Genomic DNA, 19,107 nt, shown 5'->3' with positions numbered 1-19,107 from the left:
ATAAACATTTAGGCTGAGCGCAATGGCTCATACCTGTAATCCCAGCACAGCACTTTGGGAGGCTGAGGCGGGTGGATCACGAGGTCAGGAGTTTGAGACCAGCCTGGACAGCATGATGAAACCCCACCTCTACTAAAAATACAAAATTAGATGGGCATGGTGGTGTGCGCCTGTAGTCCCAGCTACTTGGGAGGCTGAGGCAGGAGAATTGCTTGAATCTGGGAGATGGAGGTTGCAGTGAGCCAAGATCGCGCCACTACACTCCAGCCTGGGTGACAGAGCGAGACTCCGTCTCAAACAAAAACAAAAAACAAAAAAAACCTTCGCTTAGAGCAATCAAGAGTACACACTTGGAAGTTTTGCCGCATAGATGGGAAAAAGAATGGGAAGGAAGGAGAAGAACTAGGAAAGAGAGAGAAAGAAGAAAGGAGAAAGGAACATAATGGCCCTGAGAGTTAGTGAGGAAGATGACTCAGATGAGAGATAATGGAGGAAGAATTGCCAACACTGACCAAAGGCCTACTCTAATCAAGGCCTTACTCTAGTCGAGGCCTTCCTTAGAAACTAGGGGATGGATGGAGTCTCTGGGCTCAGTGGATTCAAAAATCCCTGAAACCCACAAGACACAAGTAGGTTGAGTATGAAGACAAGTGAGTCAGTTTTGGAGGCAGAAAGTTGTGAGTTCAAATCCTAATTTTGCTGCTGTGCAGATATACAGGCCTGGGCAAAATTAATTAGCTTCTCTAACACTCAATAACCTTATTGGTAGCTATGAAAATGATTGTTATAAGTATAAAATATTTAAATAACAATTTAAGACAATATATAATAAAATATGTCATAAGACAATACATGAGTTGTTACCAAGTTAATTGTAAGAGAATGGTGATCTTGGGCTGGGTGCCGTGGCTCACACCTGTAATCCCAGCACTTTGGGAGGCCAAGGCAGATGGATCATGAGGCATGAGGTCAGAAGTTCGAGCAGCCTGACCAACATGGTGAAACCCCTCTCTACTAAAAATACAAAAAAATTAGCTGGGTGTGGTTGCACGCGCCTGTAATCCCAGCTACTCAGGAGGCTGAGGCAGGAGAATCGCTTTAACCTGGGAGGCGAGATCGTGCCACTGCACTCCAGCCTGGGCAACAGAGCAAGACTCTGTCTCGGCCGGGCGCAGTGGCTCACGCCTGTAATCCCAGCACTTTGGGTGGCCGAGGCGGGCGGATCACGAGGTCAGGAGATCGAGACCATCCTGGCTAACACGGTGAAACCCCGTCTCTACTCAAAATACAAAAAAAAAAATTAGCTGGGCGCCGTGGCAGGCGCCTATAGTCCCAGCTACTTGGGAGGCTGAGGCAGGAGAATGGCGTGAACCCGGGAGGCGGAGCTTGCAGTGAGCCAAGATAGCGCCACTGCACTCCAGCCTGGGCGAAAGAGCGAGACTCTGTCTCAAAAAAAAAAAAAAAAAAAAAAAAAAAAAGACTGTCTCAAAAAAACAAAATAAAACAAAACAAAACAAAAAAAGAGAATGGTGATCTTGAGATAAAGGGGAGATATCTCTTTATGAGGAGATGGTAAATAAGCATAGACTCAGTGAAATAAGCATGTAGACAGGAAGAATCTGCTGGATTCTTCAAAAGAGCAAAGTCAAAGGAGGTGCTAGATCCCAGTAGATCACTAGTTCTCATTACACTTCGTCAATAAAGAAGTTTAGGTAGTATAATGTGGTACAAGCTAAGCCACTGTAACAAAGAAACCCCAAAAGACAATGGCTGATTTATGATAGGAGTTTATTTCTCTCTCAAGTAGCAATGACCCACGGCTGATAGGGTAGGTCATAGATCAGTTCCAATCATGGCTAAAAAACAGGAAGGGGGAAAGGGAGAAGGTGAGAGCACCCCTAATTCTTTTATGAGCAAGACTGTAAAGTGGCACCCATCACTTGCATTTGCATCCCGTTGGTCATGGGGCCACACAAATCAGCAAGGGAAGCTGGGAAATGCAGTCATTAGCTGGGTGGCCATGTGTCTAGCTAAAGGTAAAAGTGAAAAGGGAGAAATGAATGTTGGGAGACAATTATCAGTCTTTGCTAGGGATAGACCAATGGGAACCCAAAATTTTAATGAGATTTTTAAGAAGTACAAAGAGGACGTTTGCTATCTGTTTTAGTTGGATGGGAGGCAATGAACACAGCAAGGCCAATTACGCCACAGTATGCCACAGGTGTGAGATTAGATTACATGTCTTTTTCCACTCTTTTTATTTTTTTCCTTAGGGAACTCAGGTATACAGAATTGGATTATTCATAATCCTAGGTCATAGAAAACAGTCATCATTAATACATGCATGGCCCACTTTTGTTCTTTTATTTACTAGCTTGTTTTTTTTAAACTATGATGAACACTTGTGAATCTCTCATTCAACCCAAGAAACAGAATAATGCCTCATAATTATCTATGTGCCCCTGCCCCTATCCCTGCCCCTTGCACTTCAGAAGTAACCACAATCCCAAATATTGTATCTATTATCCTCTTACTTTTGGTAATTTTTTTTTCTTTTTTTTAGTCAGAGTCTCGCTCTGTCACCGAGGCTGGAGTGCAGTGTCACAATCTTGGCTCACTGCAACCTCTGCCTCCCAGGCTCAAGTGATTCTCATACCTCAGCCTCCGGAGTAGCTGAGATTACAGGGATGTGCCACCACCACACCTAGGTAATTTTTGGTTTTGGTGGTGGTGTTTTTTTTTTTTTTTTTATAGAGATGGGCCATGTTGGGCAGGTTGGTTTCGAACTCCTGTACTCAAGCAATTCACCTGCCTCAGCTTCCCAAAGTGCTGGGATTACAGGCATGAGCCACCATGACTGGTCTTCCCTTACTTTTATAATAAAGTTTTATTCACATATATATGTATGGCCAAAAAATATATTCTTAAATTTTGCTTGGTTTTGATTTTTATGAAAAGGTTATCATCATACTGTGTGCTCTCAATCTTGAAAAATATTTTAGAAAAATATTTACAGTGGCTCACTCCTGTAATCCCAGCTGCTCAGAAGGCTGAGGTGGGAGGGTCACTTGAGGCCAGGAGTTTGAGACCAGCCTGGGTAACATGGCGAGATGCTGTCTCTCCAAAAATAAAAGGTTTTTTTTTCGTTTGTTTGTTTGTTTTTGAGAGGAGTCTCGCTCTGTCACCCAGCCTGGAGTGCAGTGGTGTGATCTTGGCTCACTGCAAGCTCTGCCTCCTGGGTTCACGCCATTCTCCTGACTCAGCCTCCCGAGTAGCTGGGACCACAGGTGCCCGCCACCACGCCCGGCTAATTTTTTGTATTTTTAGTAGAGACAGGGTTTCATCATGTTAGCCAGGATGGTCTCGATCTCCTGACCTCATGATCCGCCCACCTCAGCCTCCCAAAGTGCTGGGATTACAGGCATGAGCCACTGCACCCAGCTAAAAAAAATTTCTTTTTTAATGAGCTGCATGTGGTAGTATGCACCTGTGGTCCCAGCTAGTTAAAAGGCTGAGGCAGAGGCCGGGCGCGGTGGCTCACGCCTGTAATCCCAGCACTTTGGGAGGCCGAGGCAGGCGGATCATTTGAGGTCAGGAGTTCAAGACCAGCCTGGCCAACATGGTAAAACTCTGTCTCTACTAAAAATACAAAAAAATGAGCCAGGCATGGTGGTGGGCGCCTGTAGTCCCAGCTACTCGGGAGGCTGAGGCAGGAGAATCGCTTGAACCCAGGAGGCGGAGGTTGCAGTGAGCTGAGATCGTGCCACTGCATTCCAGCCTGGTGACAGAGTGAGATCCTGTCTCCAGAAAAAAAAAAAAAGGCTGAGGCAGGAGGCTCTGTTGAGCTCAGGAGTTTGAGGCTGCAGTGAGCTATGATTGCATTACTCCATTCTGGCCTGGGCAACACAGCAAGACTCCATCTCTATAAATAAATATATAAATAAGAAAAATGGGCTAGGTGCAGTGGCTCACGCCTGTAATCCCAGCACTTTGGGAGGCCAAGGTGGCAGATCACCTGAGGTCAGGAGTTTGAGAGCAGCCTGACCAACATGGTGAAACCCCGTCTCTACTAAAAATGCAAAAATTAGCTGGGCATGGTGGCACACGCTTGTAATCCCAGCTACCTGAGAGGCTGAGGCAGGATAATTGCTTGAACCCGGGAGGCAGAGGTTGTGGTGAACTGAGATCACGCCACTGTACTCCAGCCTGGGCGACAGAGCAAGATACTGTCTCAAAAAAAGAAAAATATTTGAGTTGAGTATAGAATCCTAGGTTGGCAGGGGTTTCTATTTGTTTGTTTTGCTTTGTGTAGCACAATTAAAATATTATTCCATGGGATTTTTGTTTCCTATAGAAGTCTATAACTGTTGGTCTTTTAAATAAAAAGCCCATTGGCTGCTTTTGAGATTTTCTTTTTGTGTGTGGTGTTCCATAGTTTGAGTACCATATGTTTTGTGTAGATTTTCTTTCATTTATCCTTCTAGCAATCAGTTAGGTTTCTTGAATCTGTGCATTGGTGTTTTTTTTTCAGTTGTGCAAATCCTCAGCTATTTTCTCTGTAAATATGCTACCCCCATTTTGTCTCATCTCTCTTTCTCTATCAGAACATCTTATTATGTCTTTCATGTCTCTTAACTTCTCCTTCATATTTTCCATCTTTTTGTCTCCCTGTGCTACATTCTGGATAATTTCTGCTGATTTATCTTGTTTCCTGGTTAACTAATTATTCCTTAATCTGTGTCCAACCTGCTACCATTTATGTCCACTGAATTTTTAATTTCAGATACTGAGTTTTTCATCTCTAGAAATTCTATTTGGGTTCTTTTTCAAATCAGCTAGTAATGGCAGTGGCTGCTACCATCACTCCGGCTGTCACTCCAGCTGCAGCAGGGAGGCGCGGCTAGGGTTACACACTCCATGGAGCCGGTGGAAGCCCGGCCCCTTCTGAGTTAAGTCGGGAACTCACCGGGTGCTACTGCAGCCGCCCAAACCAAAGCCGTAGACCCCACCTCCGGCTCTACGGAGCAGGCAGAAGTCCCGCCCTCTTGGGCGGGCTGCAGCTGCCCAAACTGTGGCTGTGCATCGAAGCCTCCCTGTGCTCTTGGAGGAGGGCCGGGAATAGGCAGGATCTGCCCTCCCAGGTGCAGCTGCAGCTGCCAGGACCCACGGCTGCAGACCTGGGCCTCCCACTTCACTGAGCAGGCAGGAGCCAGGGACAAGTAGGAGACCCGCCCCTTTCGAGTTAGCGGGGCGGGACCTCCTAGGTGCAGGACCCGGGCGTCTCTGCAGCCTGCACCCTCGGGGACCCCAGGAGGCCCCCTTCCCCGGCTTCCTGCCGTCCCTGCAGGCTCCCGGATGTCTGCTCCCGCTGCCTGGCCTCTCTCCAATCCCGGCACCAGTTCAAATCTCGGAGCCGGGTTGGGGTCGAGCCCTGGGGGGGCCATGGATGGCAGCGGGAGGCGTATCGATTCCCGGGTGGAAGGGGGCGGGTCCTCAGTAAGGCCCCACCCTCAGGCCAGGGAGAGCCTGAAGGCTGGGGCCAGGCCGCCAGTCCTGCAGACCTAAGTGGTGCCTCTTCCAGCCTGCCCATGGCCCCCGATGTACCAATCTGCGTGCACTTCCTCCCTTCTGAGGTCCATAAAAGACCTGGGCTTAGCCAGAGCAGGGCAGAGGATGGCTAGAGGACGAAGAGAGCAGAGAGATGATAGGACGACCAGCTGCAGAGAGGAGCTATCCTCTCTGCTGATAGCAGGAGACAATGGGAGGACCAGCTACAGAGAGGAACTACCCTCTCTTCTGAGAGCCTCAGAGACCTGCAGAGACGTCAGGACTATCAGCTGCATAGAGGAGCAACCCTCTCCAGGGCCTTCTCCCTGCTGAGAACAGCAGATATTAGCATGACTTGCCTACAGAGCGGAGCTACCCACTGCGAGTCTCCTTTTAGCTGATCTAACACTTAAAGCTCATCTTCATCTTGTTTACCCTTCACTTGTCTGTGTACCTCATTCATCTTGGACACAGAACAAGAACTCAGGCAAAGGTGCCGCTGGCCACAGAGGTTTCTGGCCAGAAAATTGACACCCCAGAGATCCTGTAACACTAGGTCATTTTCTATGGTTTCCTGTTTCTTCATATATTTTCAGTTTATCTTTTATTTATTTTAATGCAGTAATCAAAGAAAATTCTGACACATTCTATAACATAGATGAACCTTGAGGACATTATGTTAACAGAAATAAGCCAGTCACAAATGCTATAAGATTCTACTTACATGGCCAGGTGGGGTGGCTCACCCCTGTAATCCCAGCACTTTGGGAGGCCGAGGTGGGAGGATCACCTGAGGTCAGGAGTTTGAGACCAGCCTGACCAACATGGCGAAACCCCGTCTCTACTAAAAATACAAAAATTAGCCAGGTGTGGTGGTGCACTCCTGTAGTCCCAGCTACTTGGGAGGCTGAGGCACGAGAATCGCTTGAACCCAGGAGATGGAGGTTACAGTGAGCTGAGATTGCACCACTGCATTCCAGCCTGGGCGACAGAGCGAGACTCCGTCTCAAAAAAAAAAAAAAGACTCCACTTACATGACATGTCCAGAGTAGTCAAATTAATAGAAACAGAAAGTAGAATGATAGTTTCCAGGAGCTGGGGCAGGGGGAAATGGGAATTCGTTGCTTAATGGGTGTACAGTTTCAGTTTTGCAAGATGAAAAAGTTCTAGAGATTGTTTGTACAACAAAATGAATATACTTAACACTACTAAACTGTCTACTTAAAAATGGTTAAGATGTAAAATTTTATCTTGTATATATATTATATATATCTGTGTATTATATATGCATGAATTATACTATAATAAAAGTAAAACAAAAATTTTAAATAATGCAAAAATATAGTAATCATAGTTGTTTGATGATCAGATATTACTGCAGTTCCATTGCTATCTGTTGTTTCAGCTTGTTCTCACAGTGCCTTGTTCCTTATGTGCTTGGTTATTTTTCACTATGTACTTGTCATTGTCCCTGAAAAATTACTGATGAAGATTCTTAGAGGATGAAGACCAGCATAAAAGTACAATCCTCCAGAGAGGATTTGAATTTGCTTCTGCCAGACACTTAGACACACTTTCAGTTTAGGACGACTTTAAACAAGATTTATAACTTAAAGTTAAAAAAAATACTTCATGTAATATGGGCTATAAATCTACAAAAAAAAAAAGGCCAGCTATGATTACAATGTCTCAAGGAGAGTTTTCTCCCCACCTGCTCAGTGTAGTTAACAAGCCAACTTTTCTTGGAGTTTCCTGGCAGAAAGATGTAGGGGAGGTTTACTTCTGATTCACCTTTCCCCTAATCGTAGGCCTTTGGGGATGCTCACAACTAATATAGGAAAGACTCCTCACCTTGGTGGACCCAGAGCTTTGATTTTGTTCTTTACCCTGCATTGCTGTCATAATGAAATCAAGTGTGCCTAGATTGGCAAATAACTTCAGAGCAAAATTTACTTCCTTCCACTTGGGGAGCACTTCTATACTTTATATTTTTAAACTATTTTATCCAGCATTTTAAGTTGCTTTTTGGCAACATGTCAGCCCAAATAACCTAACCAGTCAGAAATCCCTCTACTTTATTTCCTGTTTCATTGACTTACGCGCTTCTATTTATTTTCTTCCTCCTACTTTTGTATAGTTCTTATTTTCCCTCTAACTTCTTGAGTTGAATACTTAGCTCATTGTTACATTTTCTTTTCTATTATAAGGCTAGTCTATCCTAGGGCTCTAAATTTCCTTTAAAGTATGCATCTTTCACTGTAATCCATATTTTGATATGTAGTAGAGAAGCGATTGCCCAAAGCCAGTTGGTGTCCACCTGTTTTTATCATCTCCACCCAACAGGGTTCTTGTGCTGCCCTGGTTATATCCTGAAACATCTGTACTCAGGTCTGAACAAGTACAGGCAATTTTCACCATCTGGGCAGCAATGGAAGCCCAAGGCAATGCTGGGAGAGTTAACAGCATAATTTTTTTTTTTTGGATATAGGGTCTTGCTCTGTCACCCAGGATGGAGTGCAGTGGCATGATCTCAGCTCACTGCAGCCTTGACTTCCTGGGCTCAAGTGATCCTCCTACTTCAGCCTCCTAAGTAGCTAAAACTACAGGCATGCACCACCACACCTGACTAATTTTTGTAGAGATGGGGTTTCACCATGTTGTCCAGGCTGGTCTTGAACTGCTGGACTCAAGCAATCCTCACACCTCAGCCTCCCAAAGTACTGGGATTACAGGCATGAGCCACTGTGCCCAGCTAAGAGCATAATTTAAGCCATCTTTTTCTAACTCAGCTTTTTCCAACACTGGCTACATACGAAAATTACTAGGAAGTTTTGAAAATTACTGGTGCCTGGATCCCAACCAGAGAATGTTGTGATTGGTCTGTGGTGGGGCCTGGACTTGGGTACTTTTGGTGATTCTAAGGTGGATCCAGGGTTGAGAACCACTACTGTAATTTTATCTGGTCATTGCCACCAACTTGACTGAATCCTCTCTCTTCCCCACCCCCAATCTATTTTAAACAGCCTGTGTCTTCCCAAGGCTATAGTTTCCCAGTTTTCGTATTTCTGTCTATATTTCTCCAAAGTAGATTTGGGGAAGGAGGCAGAAACCCTGGTAATTTACCATGTTGGCAGGAACTAGAATTCTCCCTCATGTTGTTTGTCTTCACAGGAGGTCTCAGCATGAAACAGCAGCAGTGGTGTGGGATGACTGCCAAAATGGGCACCGTGTTGTCAGGGGTCTTCACCATCATGGCCGTAGACATGTATCTCATCTTTGAACAGAAGCACCTAGGGAATGGCAGTTGCACTGAGATCACACCAAAGTACAGGGGTGCAAGTAACATCATAAATAACTTCATCATCTGCTGGAGTTTTAAAATCGTCCTCTTCCTGTCTTTCATCACCATCCTCATCAGCTGCTTCCTCCTGTACTCAGTGTATGCCCAGATCTTCAGGGGCCTGGTCATCTACATTGTCTGGATTTTTTTCTATGAAACTGCAAACGTCGTAATACAAATCCTCACCAACAATGACTTTGACATTAAAGAGGTCAGAATCATGCGCTGGTTTGGCTTGGTGTCTCGTACAGTCATGCACTGTTTCTGGATGTTCTTTGTCATCAACTATGCCCACATAACCTACAAAAACCGGAGCCAGGGCAATATAATTTCCTACAAGAGACGAATTTCTACAGCGGAGATTCTCCACAGCAGAAATAAAAGATTATCAATTTCGAGTGGGTTCAGTGGCTCACACCTGGAATCCCAGTACTTTGAGAGGCAGAGGTAGGTGGATCGCCTGAGGTCAGGAGTTCAAGACCAGCCTGGCCTTGGCAGCCATGGCAAAACCCCGTCTCTACTAAAAAAAATAGAAAATTAGCCAGGCGTGGCGGCACACACCTGTAATCCCAGCCACTTGAGAGGCTGAGACTGGAGAATCACTTGACCTGGGAGGTGGAGGTTGCAGTGAGCCGAGATTGCGCCAGTGCACTTCAGCCTGAGTGACAGAGTAAGACTCTGTCCCCCAAAAAAAAAAAAAAAAGTTAGCAGCTTTATCCACCACTATAAGCAATCATGTTGGCCCTTTTCTTTCCCATAAGAGGTAGGTCTCTCAGATTCCCAGGGTAGTTCTATTTCCTTTTTTCCCCCCACTTTTGCTTAGCAGTTCTGCAAGTAGAGACCCTACTGCCACTCTTTCAGGAGAACATGAAGAGAAAATGTGATTATAATCACAACCGGAACATCCTGCTCATTGAGGGTATTTAGTTAAAGGATATTGTGATTTATCAAAACTTCTGTGAACTCACCTTTCTACCACCTGATTGGTCAAAATGAATGGAATAAGATGAAGCTGAATTGCAGTAGGGCAATCCTTTTTTCTTGGCATCTTCATTAGCCTTCAACCCACAACTCTTTAATTTAACCCTGGGATAAGCAAATCTGTATTTATACCAGATTTTTGCAGCACAAAGGATACTGTTGGCCCTGGGGTGGGTTTGTGCTATGATTTCCCCACTGTGTCTTCTGTTTTATTCCAGATAAGAAAAAGAATAAAAATAGAGAAAATTCATCCTTCAATTTATGTCTCGAATTTCCCCACCCTTTCCAAATTTGTCAAGGAGTGTGAAAGGCACTTCCTTAATCAAAGATATATGTTAAACATACTTCTGTATCTGTTGCTGTGCTGTACTCTGTAGTGTGAACACTGTACTGAACATTGTGTATATACTGTATACAAAAATGTGTAAGATATGAATGACTATGAGAATTTTGTAGTTTAGTGGAAGAAAGTAAATTATTGTTTATGAATCAATTAGCCAATCATATAAGACAGTATATGATTACATACTATCACAAATAAACAGACATCACTTTGCATTCAGGTCCAGAGACTGTATGAAGCACATTTTTTATTTTTGAGACCGAGTCTGGCTCTGTCGCCCAGGCCAGAGTGCAATGGTGCGACCTCGGCTCACTGCAACCCCCGCCTCCCGGGTTTAAGCGATTCTCCAGCTTCAGCCTCCTGAATAGCTGGGATTACAGGCACAGGCCACCATGCCTGGCTAATTTTTGTATTTTTAGTAGAGACGGGGTTTCCCCATGTTGGTCAGGCTGGTATTGAATTCCTGACCTTAGGTGATCCACTTGCCTCAGCCTCCCAAAGTGCTGGGAGTACAGGTGTGAGTCACCCACTGCTGCTATAATAACTGAGTAATTTATAAAGAGCTGAGATTTATTTTCTCACACTTTTGGAGGCTAGAAGTTCAATATCAAGGTGCCAGTAGGTTTGGTGTCTGGTAAGGGCCTGCTCTCTTTGCTTCTAAGATGGTGCAAACACTGTCCTTACATGGCAGAAGGGATGGAGAGGCAAAAGAAACTAGCTAGTTCCCTCCTGTCCCTTTATAAGGTCACTTATTCCATTCATGAGGGCTCTGCCCCTATGATTCAATCACCTCCTAAAGGCCCCATCTTTTAATGCTGTTGCATTAGGGATTAAGTTTCAACATGAATTTTGAAGGGGACAGTCAAACCACAGCACTCACCATTTGGCAAGCTGTCCTTGTCATTGTCTTCCCCGCTCCCATCCTCAGGGCTCTCCTGCCTCTGTGCTCCTCGCCTCAGAGGATGGGCTGTCCTCCATCCAGGTGCTCATCCCAGACTCCTTCTTCCACAGCCCCAGGCCCCAAATCTGTCCCCCAACATCCCTCTGCTGCCTTACTTCACCTTATTTCCTTCCATAGCCTCTCAACTGCTCTGCCTACCTCCACCTTTGCTCCCTTTCTGACCCATGGCCCTCACAGCAGCAAGAAAGATTTTTCTAAAATGCAAATCGGGCCAGGCGCAGGGGCTCACGTCTGTAATCCCAATACTTTTGGAGGCCAAAGCGGGCGGATCACTTGAGGTCAGGAGTTCAAGACCAGCCTGGCCAACATGGTGAGACCCCTTCTCTACTAAAACTACCAAAATTAGGCGGGTATAGTGGCAGGCACCTGTAATCCCAGCTACTCGGGAGGCTGAGGCAGGAGAATTGCTTGAACTTGGGAGATGGAGGTTGCAGTGAGCCATAATTGCACCACTGCACTGCAGCCTGGGCAACAGAGTGAGACTTTGTCTCAAAAATAAATAAATAAATAAATAAAATTCAAATCTGATTATGTCTGTCTGTCTATCTGTTTCTCACACACACACACACACACACACACACACACACACACACCCTGAAGAACCTCTCCTTTGCCTTTCAGAGAAACATCCACATGGCTGGTAGCAGGTAAGGATCCTTCCTGATCTGGCCCCTGCCAACATATACAGCCTTCCCCTCTGCTCAAGCCAAGGCAAACTTGCTGTTTCCAAAATGGCTTTTGCCTATCCCTGTGCCTACCCCTTTGTGTTGTCTCCTTTGCTGGGGGTGAAGTCCCTCCTTTTTCTGCCTAGTTAATGCCCATGTCTCTGAAGACCCAAGCTCAGCTATTGCCTACTCCAGAAAGCCTCCCCTGATTCTCATCCAATGATTTTTCATCTCTCTCACTGTTACATCTTGACAACACTGAGCCATCTCTTCCTCTATCACATTTATCACGTTGCATTGTAAGTTTTCTTTTTTCTTTTCTTTTTTTTTTTTTTTTTTTTTTTTTTTTTTTGAGACAGAGTCTCGCTCTGCAGCCCAGGCTGGAGTACAGTGGTGTGATATCAGCTCACTGCAACCTCTACCTCCCGGGTCCTGATTAAGCAATTCTGCTGCCTCAGCCTCCCAGGTAGTTGGCGCGTGCCACCATGCCCAGCTAATTTTTGTATCTTTAGTAGAGATGGGGTTTCACCATGTTGGCTAGACTGGTCTTGAACTCCTGACCTCGTGATCCGCCTGCCTCAAGTTTTCTTTTCTCTTAATTAAAAACAATTTTTATTCATTTGTTTTTTTATTTGTCTAGCTTCCACACTAGCATATTTACCTGTCTGTCTCCAGTGCCAAGCTCAGCCCCCAGCACCTGTAGATACACAATAGATGTCTGCTGAGTGAGTATTGAATGAATAGAATGTACCAGAGGACCTTGGCTAGCGGCAGAAAGGGAAGTTAGGCCATTATTATAGTGACCCAAGAGAGAGGTGCCGAGGGTGGAGACCAAGGCTGGGGCAGCAGAGCTGTGGAACCAGTGGGCTTTATACAGACATTTCCTTGAAACTCACAACATAGATATAAAGCAAAGGAAGAAAACTGTGTGGTTCAGGGCCTTATTTTTAGACAATTCAGGTGAGTACCCCATGGGTAGTGGCTGCTCTGGAAGCTGCGCTGTGAACCGAGCAGAGGTGAGGTTTCGTTGGTGCAGACGGGGAAGCATCAGTGCAGCTACCCACTAGACAACACACTGCCTCCCTCCTGGGCCCTCCAGGTTCTAGGGTGCACTGAGAGTTTTGTGTATCTGGAGTCACACAGGGTTGGGAGGATGGTGGAGAATAAAGTATAAGAATATTTGGGATGAATCTGGAAAACATTATGCTAAGTGAAGTAAGCCAGATACCGAAGGACAAATGTATGATTCCACTTATGTGAGACACCTAGAGCAGGCAAATTCATAGAGACAGCAAGAAAAATGGTTAGTAGGGAGCGGGGGAAGAGGAGAATGGGGAGTTGATGTTTATAATGGGTACAGAGATTTTGGTGGGGATGATGAAAAAGTTCTGAAGATGGCCAGGCATGGTGGCTCATGCCTGTAATCCCAGCACTTTGGGAGGCCGAGGCGGGCAGATCACTTGTGGTCAGGGGTTCAAGACCAGCCTGGCCAACATGGTGAAACCTGTCTCTACTAAAAATACAAAAATTAGCTGGGCATGCTGGCGCACGCTTGTAATCCCAGCTACTTGGGAGGCTGAGGCATGAGAATCGCTTCATCCTGGGAGGCAGAGATTGCAGTGATCCAAGATCGTACCACTGCACTCCAGCCTGGGTGACAGAGCAAGACTCTGTCGAAAGAGAGAGAGAGAGAGAGAAAGGAAGTTCTGGAGATGGATAGCGATATGCTTGCACGACAACGTGAATGTACTTAATGTCACTGAATTGCACATTCAAAAAGGGCTAAAGTGGTGAATTTTACATTCTGTATATTTTACTGTATTTGGAGTTGATCCAGTGAGTGAAGAGGAGAGGGCTGGAGGGAGGCTAGTGGCAGCCTGTCTGTGCTCTGCCTGGCTGGACAGGACCCATTCTGGTCATCTCAGAGAGAGGCCAGGTCAGGCTTCCAACAAGTTGTCCCCCATTGGACATTCGTCAGCCTGAGGACAGCCCTGTGTTCTCCTAATGTGTGACTGTGCCCCTTCCTTTGCCCCACAACAGAGGTAGCTCGCCAGTGTAGTGAATGATGAGGAGAGAGGTTTGCTCAGGAGTCCTCTGAATTGGGAGCCAGTAAGAAGAAGATTCAGGTTGTGGAGGAACGTTTGCGCTGTAGGCCCAGCCTACTCCAGCCTTAGGTCCCCCATTATCAACATGCCCTCAGCAGGGTCGGCTCGGGCACCAGGTTCCTGCTCCCTGCCATGAGTTGACCTCTAGAGCTCAGGTGTAACCTAGGTTGCAGCTGGAGGTCTGCCTGCTGGGCCTTCACCTGCACAATGGTGGCTTATTGTTAAGGCATCTTGGCCCTGGGCAGAGTCTTGCCTGGATCCATAAACCTTTACCCATTCCATTCCTGCTGGCCAAACCCTGTGACTTGGGACAAGGCTGGGCCATGCCCAGGGAGCAAATCAGGGAAATTTCTAAGGACTTGGAAGGAAAGAGTAGTGGGGGCAGAGGATGTCAGGGATGATTCCAAGCCCTTGAGGAGCCATGAGAGTTTTCTGACTTCAGAGAAGCAAACTCCCCAGATGGGAGCTTCGTTCATACCATCGTTATCCTCAATACAGGAACCTCTGAATTCCCACAAACCTACATCAACAGGAGCACTCTTTTTGCCACTTTAAAGCAAAGCTGAAGCTGGAACAGCAGAATTGGAAGCTACTTAGGAAGTCCCAGGCCAGTGATACATTCATTTCTCAATGATGTGGTCACATCTAGCAAGTTAGGCCAGAGCACGGGCCAGACCCCATGTCCCTTAACTTCCAGCCTATTGCCTGTCCACACACCATCATTGCTCTTAGCTCTCTGATTTATATCTAGTGACTTGGGGGATTTGTCTAAGGCTACCTCTGCCATCTTGTCACGTGTCTGTATGATTTTCTTCCTGCAGGAGGTGCTCTGGTAAAACAAGTATAAAATGAATGTCAGGATGTTCTCCCTCATGGTGGGCATCTTCTCTGTCCTTAATACCACCCAGTTCTTCATCTTTGACCTGAACCAGAAGACACACATTTGCTATGAGGCCAAGTTCAGCATCTACGTGGACTCAAAGTCGGAGCTAGTCACTTGGACCCTGTTCCACAGGGCTAATATCAGCACTGGCCTCTCCCTCACCACCATCATCATCGGCTGCTTCCTCTTTTATTGTATCCACAAGAATATCTACATGGGGCTGCTGATCTATGCCATGTGGATCATCACTTACGAGCTCATCAACTTCTCCATAGTCCTGCTCCTCAACGGGATCATCAAAGATCACTTCAAGACGCTGAGTTATTTGCACTGGATCTTCCAAATCTCACACATGCTCCTGCACTTTTTCTGTCTGCCCTTCATCGTCAAGCATGCATACAACCTTTACAAGGAATCCCAGACTGTGGGCAGGAAACGCCGCCACAGGCTCTGCTCCACCATTGCAGTGAACTCATGACTACCTGTCCGTCTGGGAATGTTGTACCGGAAGTTAAACTGAACCATGCCAGATGCCAGGAAAGGTGGGAGGGAATGGTGTTCCTCAACAATGGAACCCTCCCTACCCTGCCTGTCTTCTGTTGATGCTGCTTGGTTTGTCAGGGCTTTTGAGTTTTACGCACTGAGGAATGATTCTCGGGAGAGGGCAGGTTGTGCGGATCAATTATTTTACAGATGTGTTGTGTGACTTGTTTTAGCAGTTAATGATATGTGGCCTTGTGCTTACTTAACCATCTCACTGGTGTCTGTTTTTGCCTCTCACTGTCCCCTCTCCTCTGCACTTCCTTAGTTTCTAGTTCTTCCTTTATGGGTTGGCCCACAGATGCCGGTTCTGCTGAGTCCTTTGGAGGAGTGTTGTCCAGTAGAACTTCCTGTGCTGATGGAAATGTCCTCTATCTGTGCTGGCTACTAGCCATGTGTGGCGACTGAGCACTTGGAAATGTGGCTATTACAACCCAGTAATCAAATTTTAAATTTTATTCTTTTTTAGCTAATTTCCATTTCAATAACTATGTATGGCTGGCTCAAGACTAGCCTATCGGCCCAGCATGGTGGCTTACGCCTGTAATCCCAGCACTTTGGGAGGCCAAGGCAGGTGGATCACTTGAGGTCAGGAGTTCAAGACAAGACTGGCCAGCATGGTGAAACCCGCTCTCTACTAAAAATACAAAAATTAGCCGGGCGTGGTGGTGGGTGCCTGTAATCCCAGCTACTCGGGAGGCTGAGGCAGGAGAATCACTTGAACCCAGGAGGCGGAGGTGGCAGTGAGCTGAGATGGTGCCACTGCACTCCAGCCTGGGGGACAGAGTGAGACTCCATCTCAAAAACACAAACACACACACACACACACACACACACACACACACACAAACAGGGCCGGGTTCGGTGGCTCACGGCTGTAATCCCAGCACTTTGGGAGGCCGAGGCAGGCAGATCAAGAGGTCAGGAGATCGAGACCATCCTGGCTAACACAGTGAAACCCCGTCTCTACTAAAAATACAAAAAAATTGCCAGGCATGGTAGCGGGTGCCTGTGGTCCCAGATACTCAGGAGGCTGAGGCAGGAGAATGGCCTGAACCTGGGAGGTGGAGCTTGCAGTGAGCCGAGATCGCGCCACTGCACTGCAGCCTGGGTGACAGAGCGAGACTCTGTCTCAAACAAACAGACAAAACAAAAACAAGGACCAACCCTTTGAAAAACAAAAAGAACCCCCCAAAATATCTCCAGGCATTGTCAAACATCCCATGGGGTGGGGGTGGTGGGGGGGCAAAGTTGCCCCTAGTTGAGAGACACTATTGTAAAGCAACAAGCTCTGTGTTGAGAGCCAGCAGGCCCCTGCCTTGAACTAGGAGTGCCGCTTTTCCTGAGAACTCTTCACATTCACCAGTTGTGCAGTCTTCATCCTAATGCTCCTGTTTTATGGTTTGACGAAACTGAGACTCACTGGGCTTCAGTGATGAGATCAAGGTCACATGGTAGCAAAAGCAGGACTTGCATCTCATCATCTGACTTCATACACGAAAGTCGGCTCCCTGATTCATTCTTACTTTTACCAAGACAAAAAGGAACACCTCCTTTTAGGGTAGTTCCTTTTCCCTTGAAAAATGTTGGGAGTGAAGTCAAGAGACATGTTTGTTTGTTTGTTTTGGCCATACTCTTCCAAACCATGAGCATAGTAATGACAGTCGCTGGCTTTTACTGAACACTCAGTGCCAGGTACTATCCTACAATTCACTCAACTCTTTCCACCACGGATTTAAACCTAGGCCAGTTCCCCAAATGACCACAAGATGGCAGTCAGTAATAAGCTTTTGCTTAGAGCTGTTGGCCCCTAAACCAGATCCTCCAAGGGTGGCTGTTCAGGATTTATGGAGCTTCCAGCTGATGACTGGGAGCTAATGTGTGTGTCTCTGCCCCAGTCTCACAAGGCATGCCTTGTCTGATTGTGACTTGCTAGTACCAAAACACAAAATATAAAACATGGGCCAACTTCTGGGTTCTGATTCCCCATCCCGGTTGAGGTCGCTACGGTGGGAGGTAGACCTGGGCAACATTGGGGAACTGGAGACCTGTGTGTTGAAGAAGTGTAGGCAGAAGCAGAGTTCCAGGAATCACCTCAGCTGAGAGTTACTTTAGTTGAGAAAGTTTAAGACACTCAAACGCAAGGTTGTGCTATCCTCTATACAAGACTCCTCAAAAGCATGGTTGCTTCTGCCTTTACTTCCTGGTCTCCTGTTCTTTCTAGAACCCATCCAGTTAGGTTTCACCCCCACCGCCCCACTGGGACTGCTCTTGTCAAGGTGATCTCCACACTGCTCAAGCCGGTGGTCAGTTCTCCACCTTTGCTGACCTGTCCTGCAGTGGCTTTTGACTGCTGATCCCTCTCTCCTGCCAACAGGTTTCTCTGGTAGCCCCTCTGCCTCCGTCTCCATCCCTCCCCTGCCGCACTGGCCCCTTCTCCTCAGTCTCCTTTGCTGGCCTCTCCTCATCTTCCTGACCTCCAAACACCGGAGTGCCCTTGGCACAGTCCTTGGTCTTGTTCTCTGTCTCACTCACTCCCAGCTCACCTGGTCCAGACCCATCACTAATAAGCCCCATATACATCTTCAGCCTGGACTTCTCCCCTAAACCCTGGCTTTGTTTATGCAGTTGCTTCCTTGATGTGGTAGCCAGCTCTAACATGGTTCCCAGAGATCTCTGCGAACTGATATTCACATTCATCACCTCTTCTTAGATGTGGGCAGGACCCAGTGATCCTCTTCTAGCAAAGAGAACATAGCAAAAGCGATGGGTTGTCCTTTCTAAGGTTAGGTTACAGAAGACGATGACGTCAGTGCTGCCCGCTCTCTGAGGGAAGCTGGCTATCATGTTGAAAGTATCTTTATGGAAAGGCTCACACTGCCAGGAGCAGAGGTCACTAACCAAGAGCCCGTGAGGAACGGAATCCTACCAACAGCCCCATGAGGGAGCTTGGAAGCAGATCCTCCCCTACACAACTCTTTTTTTTTTTTTTAAATACAATATGGGGTCTCCCTATGTTGCCCAGGCTGGTCTTGAACTCCTGGCCTCAGGCTATCCTCCCACCTTGGCTTCCCAGAGTGCTGAGATTATAGGCATGAGCCACCATACCCAGTCAGGATATGTTTTGGGGTGGTTACTGTTGTAGAGACATTTTTGTAGAGATGTGACATGTACTAGTTATCTATTACTGCATAACAAATTACCCCAAAATTAGCAGCTTAAGACAGTACATTTATTCTGTCTTAGTTTCTGCGGTCAGGAGTCCAGACACAGCTCACCTGGTTCTCTGACTCAGATTCTCTCAGGGTCTCACTCAGGATGTCTCTACTTTTATTTGATTTTTAGAGACAGGGTTGCACTCTGTCACCCAGGCTGGAATGCAGTCGTGCAATCATAGCTCACTGGAGCCTTGAACTTCCAGGCTCAAGCGATCCTCCCACCTCAGCCTCCTGAGTAGCTGGGAATACAGGTGTGCCACCGCATCCAACTGATGTAAAAAAATTTTTTTTTTTAATTTTCTTAAAATGTGGGAATGTAGCCGGGCATGGTAGCTCACGCCTGTAATGACAGCACTTTGGGAGGCTGAGGCGGGTGGATCACCTGAGGTCAGGAGTTCAAGACCAGTCTGGCCAACATGGTGAAACCTCCTCTCTACTAAAAATACAAAAATTAACCGGGCATGGTAGCAGGTGCCTGTAATCCCAGTTACTCAGGAGGCTGAGGCAGGAGAATTGCTTGAACC

At 46.6% G+C, this 19,107-nt stretch overlaps 2 protein-coding genes across 14 annotated transcripts in view, besides 4 other annotated features; both read left to right on the top strand.

Moving 5' to 3' along the window:
• Window positions 1-15,579, top strand: part of TMEM217B (transmembrane protein 217B) — a 45,964-nt gene extending 30,385 nt beyond the window's left edge. For 2 of the 3 annotated variants that reach the window (NM_001395378.1, NM_001395938.1), the window contains exon 2: window positions 14,764-15,579. In NM_001395378.1, coding sequence (NP_001382307.1) covers window positions 14,791-15,303 — 513 coding nt within the window. In that variant the 5' untranslated portion in view covers window positions 14,764-14,790 and the 3' untranslated portion in view covers window positions 15,304-15,579. Of the gene's footprint in view, window positions 1-12,477; window positions 12,563-14,763 lie in introns of all 3 variants that reach the window. The other variant, NM_001395377.1, reaches the window with a different exon arrangement.
• TMEM217 (transmembrane protein 217) overlaps window positions 1-15,579 on the top strand; it is a 45,964-nt gene extending 30,385 nt beyond the window's left edge. For 2 of the 11 annotated variants that reach the window (NM_001395242.1, NM_001395241.1), the window contains exons 2-3: window positions 8,719-9,098; window positions 14,764-15,579. In NM_001395242.1, the coding sequence (NP_001382171.1) occupies window positions 8,730-9,098; window positions 14,764-14,778 (384 nt within the window). In that variant the 5' untranslated portion in view covers window positions 8,719-8,729 and the 3' untranslated portion in view covers window positions 14,779-15,579. Of the gene's footprint in view, window positions 1-8,718; window positions 11,701-11,793; window positions 11,820-12,477; window positions 12,563-14,440; window positions 14,550-14,763 lie in introns of those variants that run through there. The other 9 variants (NM_001286401.2, NM_001371555.1, NM_001395240.1 and 6 more) reach the window with 7 other exon arrangements.
• Window positions 4,845-4,894: a silencer, noted in NCBI's record as "silent region_17134". NCBI's record gives its function as "represses an Ori minimal core promoter by ATAC-STARR-seq in GM12878 lymphoblastoid cells {active_cell/tissue: GM12878}" and the evidence as "EXISTENCE:reporter gene assay evidence [ECO:0000049][PMID:35858748]".
• Window positions 5,265-5,524: a silencer, noted in NCBI's record as "silent region_17133". NCBI's record gives its function as "represses an Ori minimal core promoter by ATAC-STARR-seq in GM12878 lymphoblastoid cells {active_cell/tissue: GM12878}" and the evidence as "EXISTENCE:reporter gene assay evidence [ECO:0000049][PMID:35858748]".
• Window positions 5,725-5,864: an enhancer, noted in NCBI's record as "active region_24453". NCBI's record gives its function as "activates an Ori minimal core promoter by ATAC-STARR-seq in GM12878 lymphoblastoid cells {active_cell/tissue: GM12878}" and the evidence as "EXISTENCE:reporter gene assay evidence [ECO:0000049][PMID:35858748]".
• Window positions 16,993-17,287: a silencer, noted in NCBI's record as "tiled region #1580; K562 Repressive DNase unmatched - State 5:Enh". NCBI's record gives its function as "represses a minimal TATA promoter and a strong SV40 promoter by Sharpr-MPRA in K562 cells {active_cell/tissue: K562}" and the evidence as "EXISTENCE:reporter gene assay evidence [ECO:0000049][PMID:27701403]".

Source organism: Homo sapiens, chromosome 6 (genome assembly GCF_000001405.40).
Source record: "Homo sapiens chromosome 6, GRCh38.p14 Primary Assembly".
Classification (NCBI taxonomy): domain Eukaryota; kingdom Metazoa; phylum Chordata; class Mammalia; order Primates; family Hominidae; genus Homo; species Homo sapiens.
The sequence above is the reverse complement of the archived record's forward strand: the minus strand, read 5'-3'. Positions and strand labels throughout refer to the sequence as shown.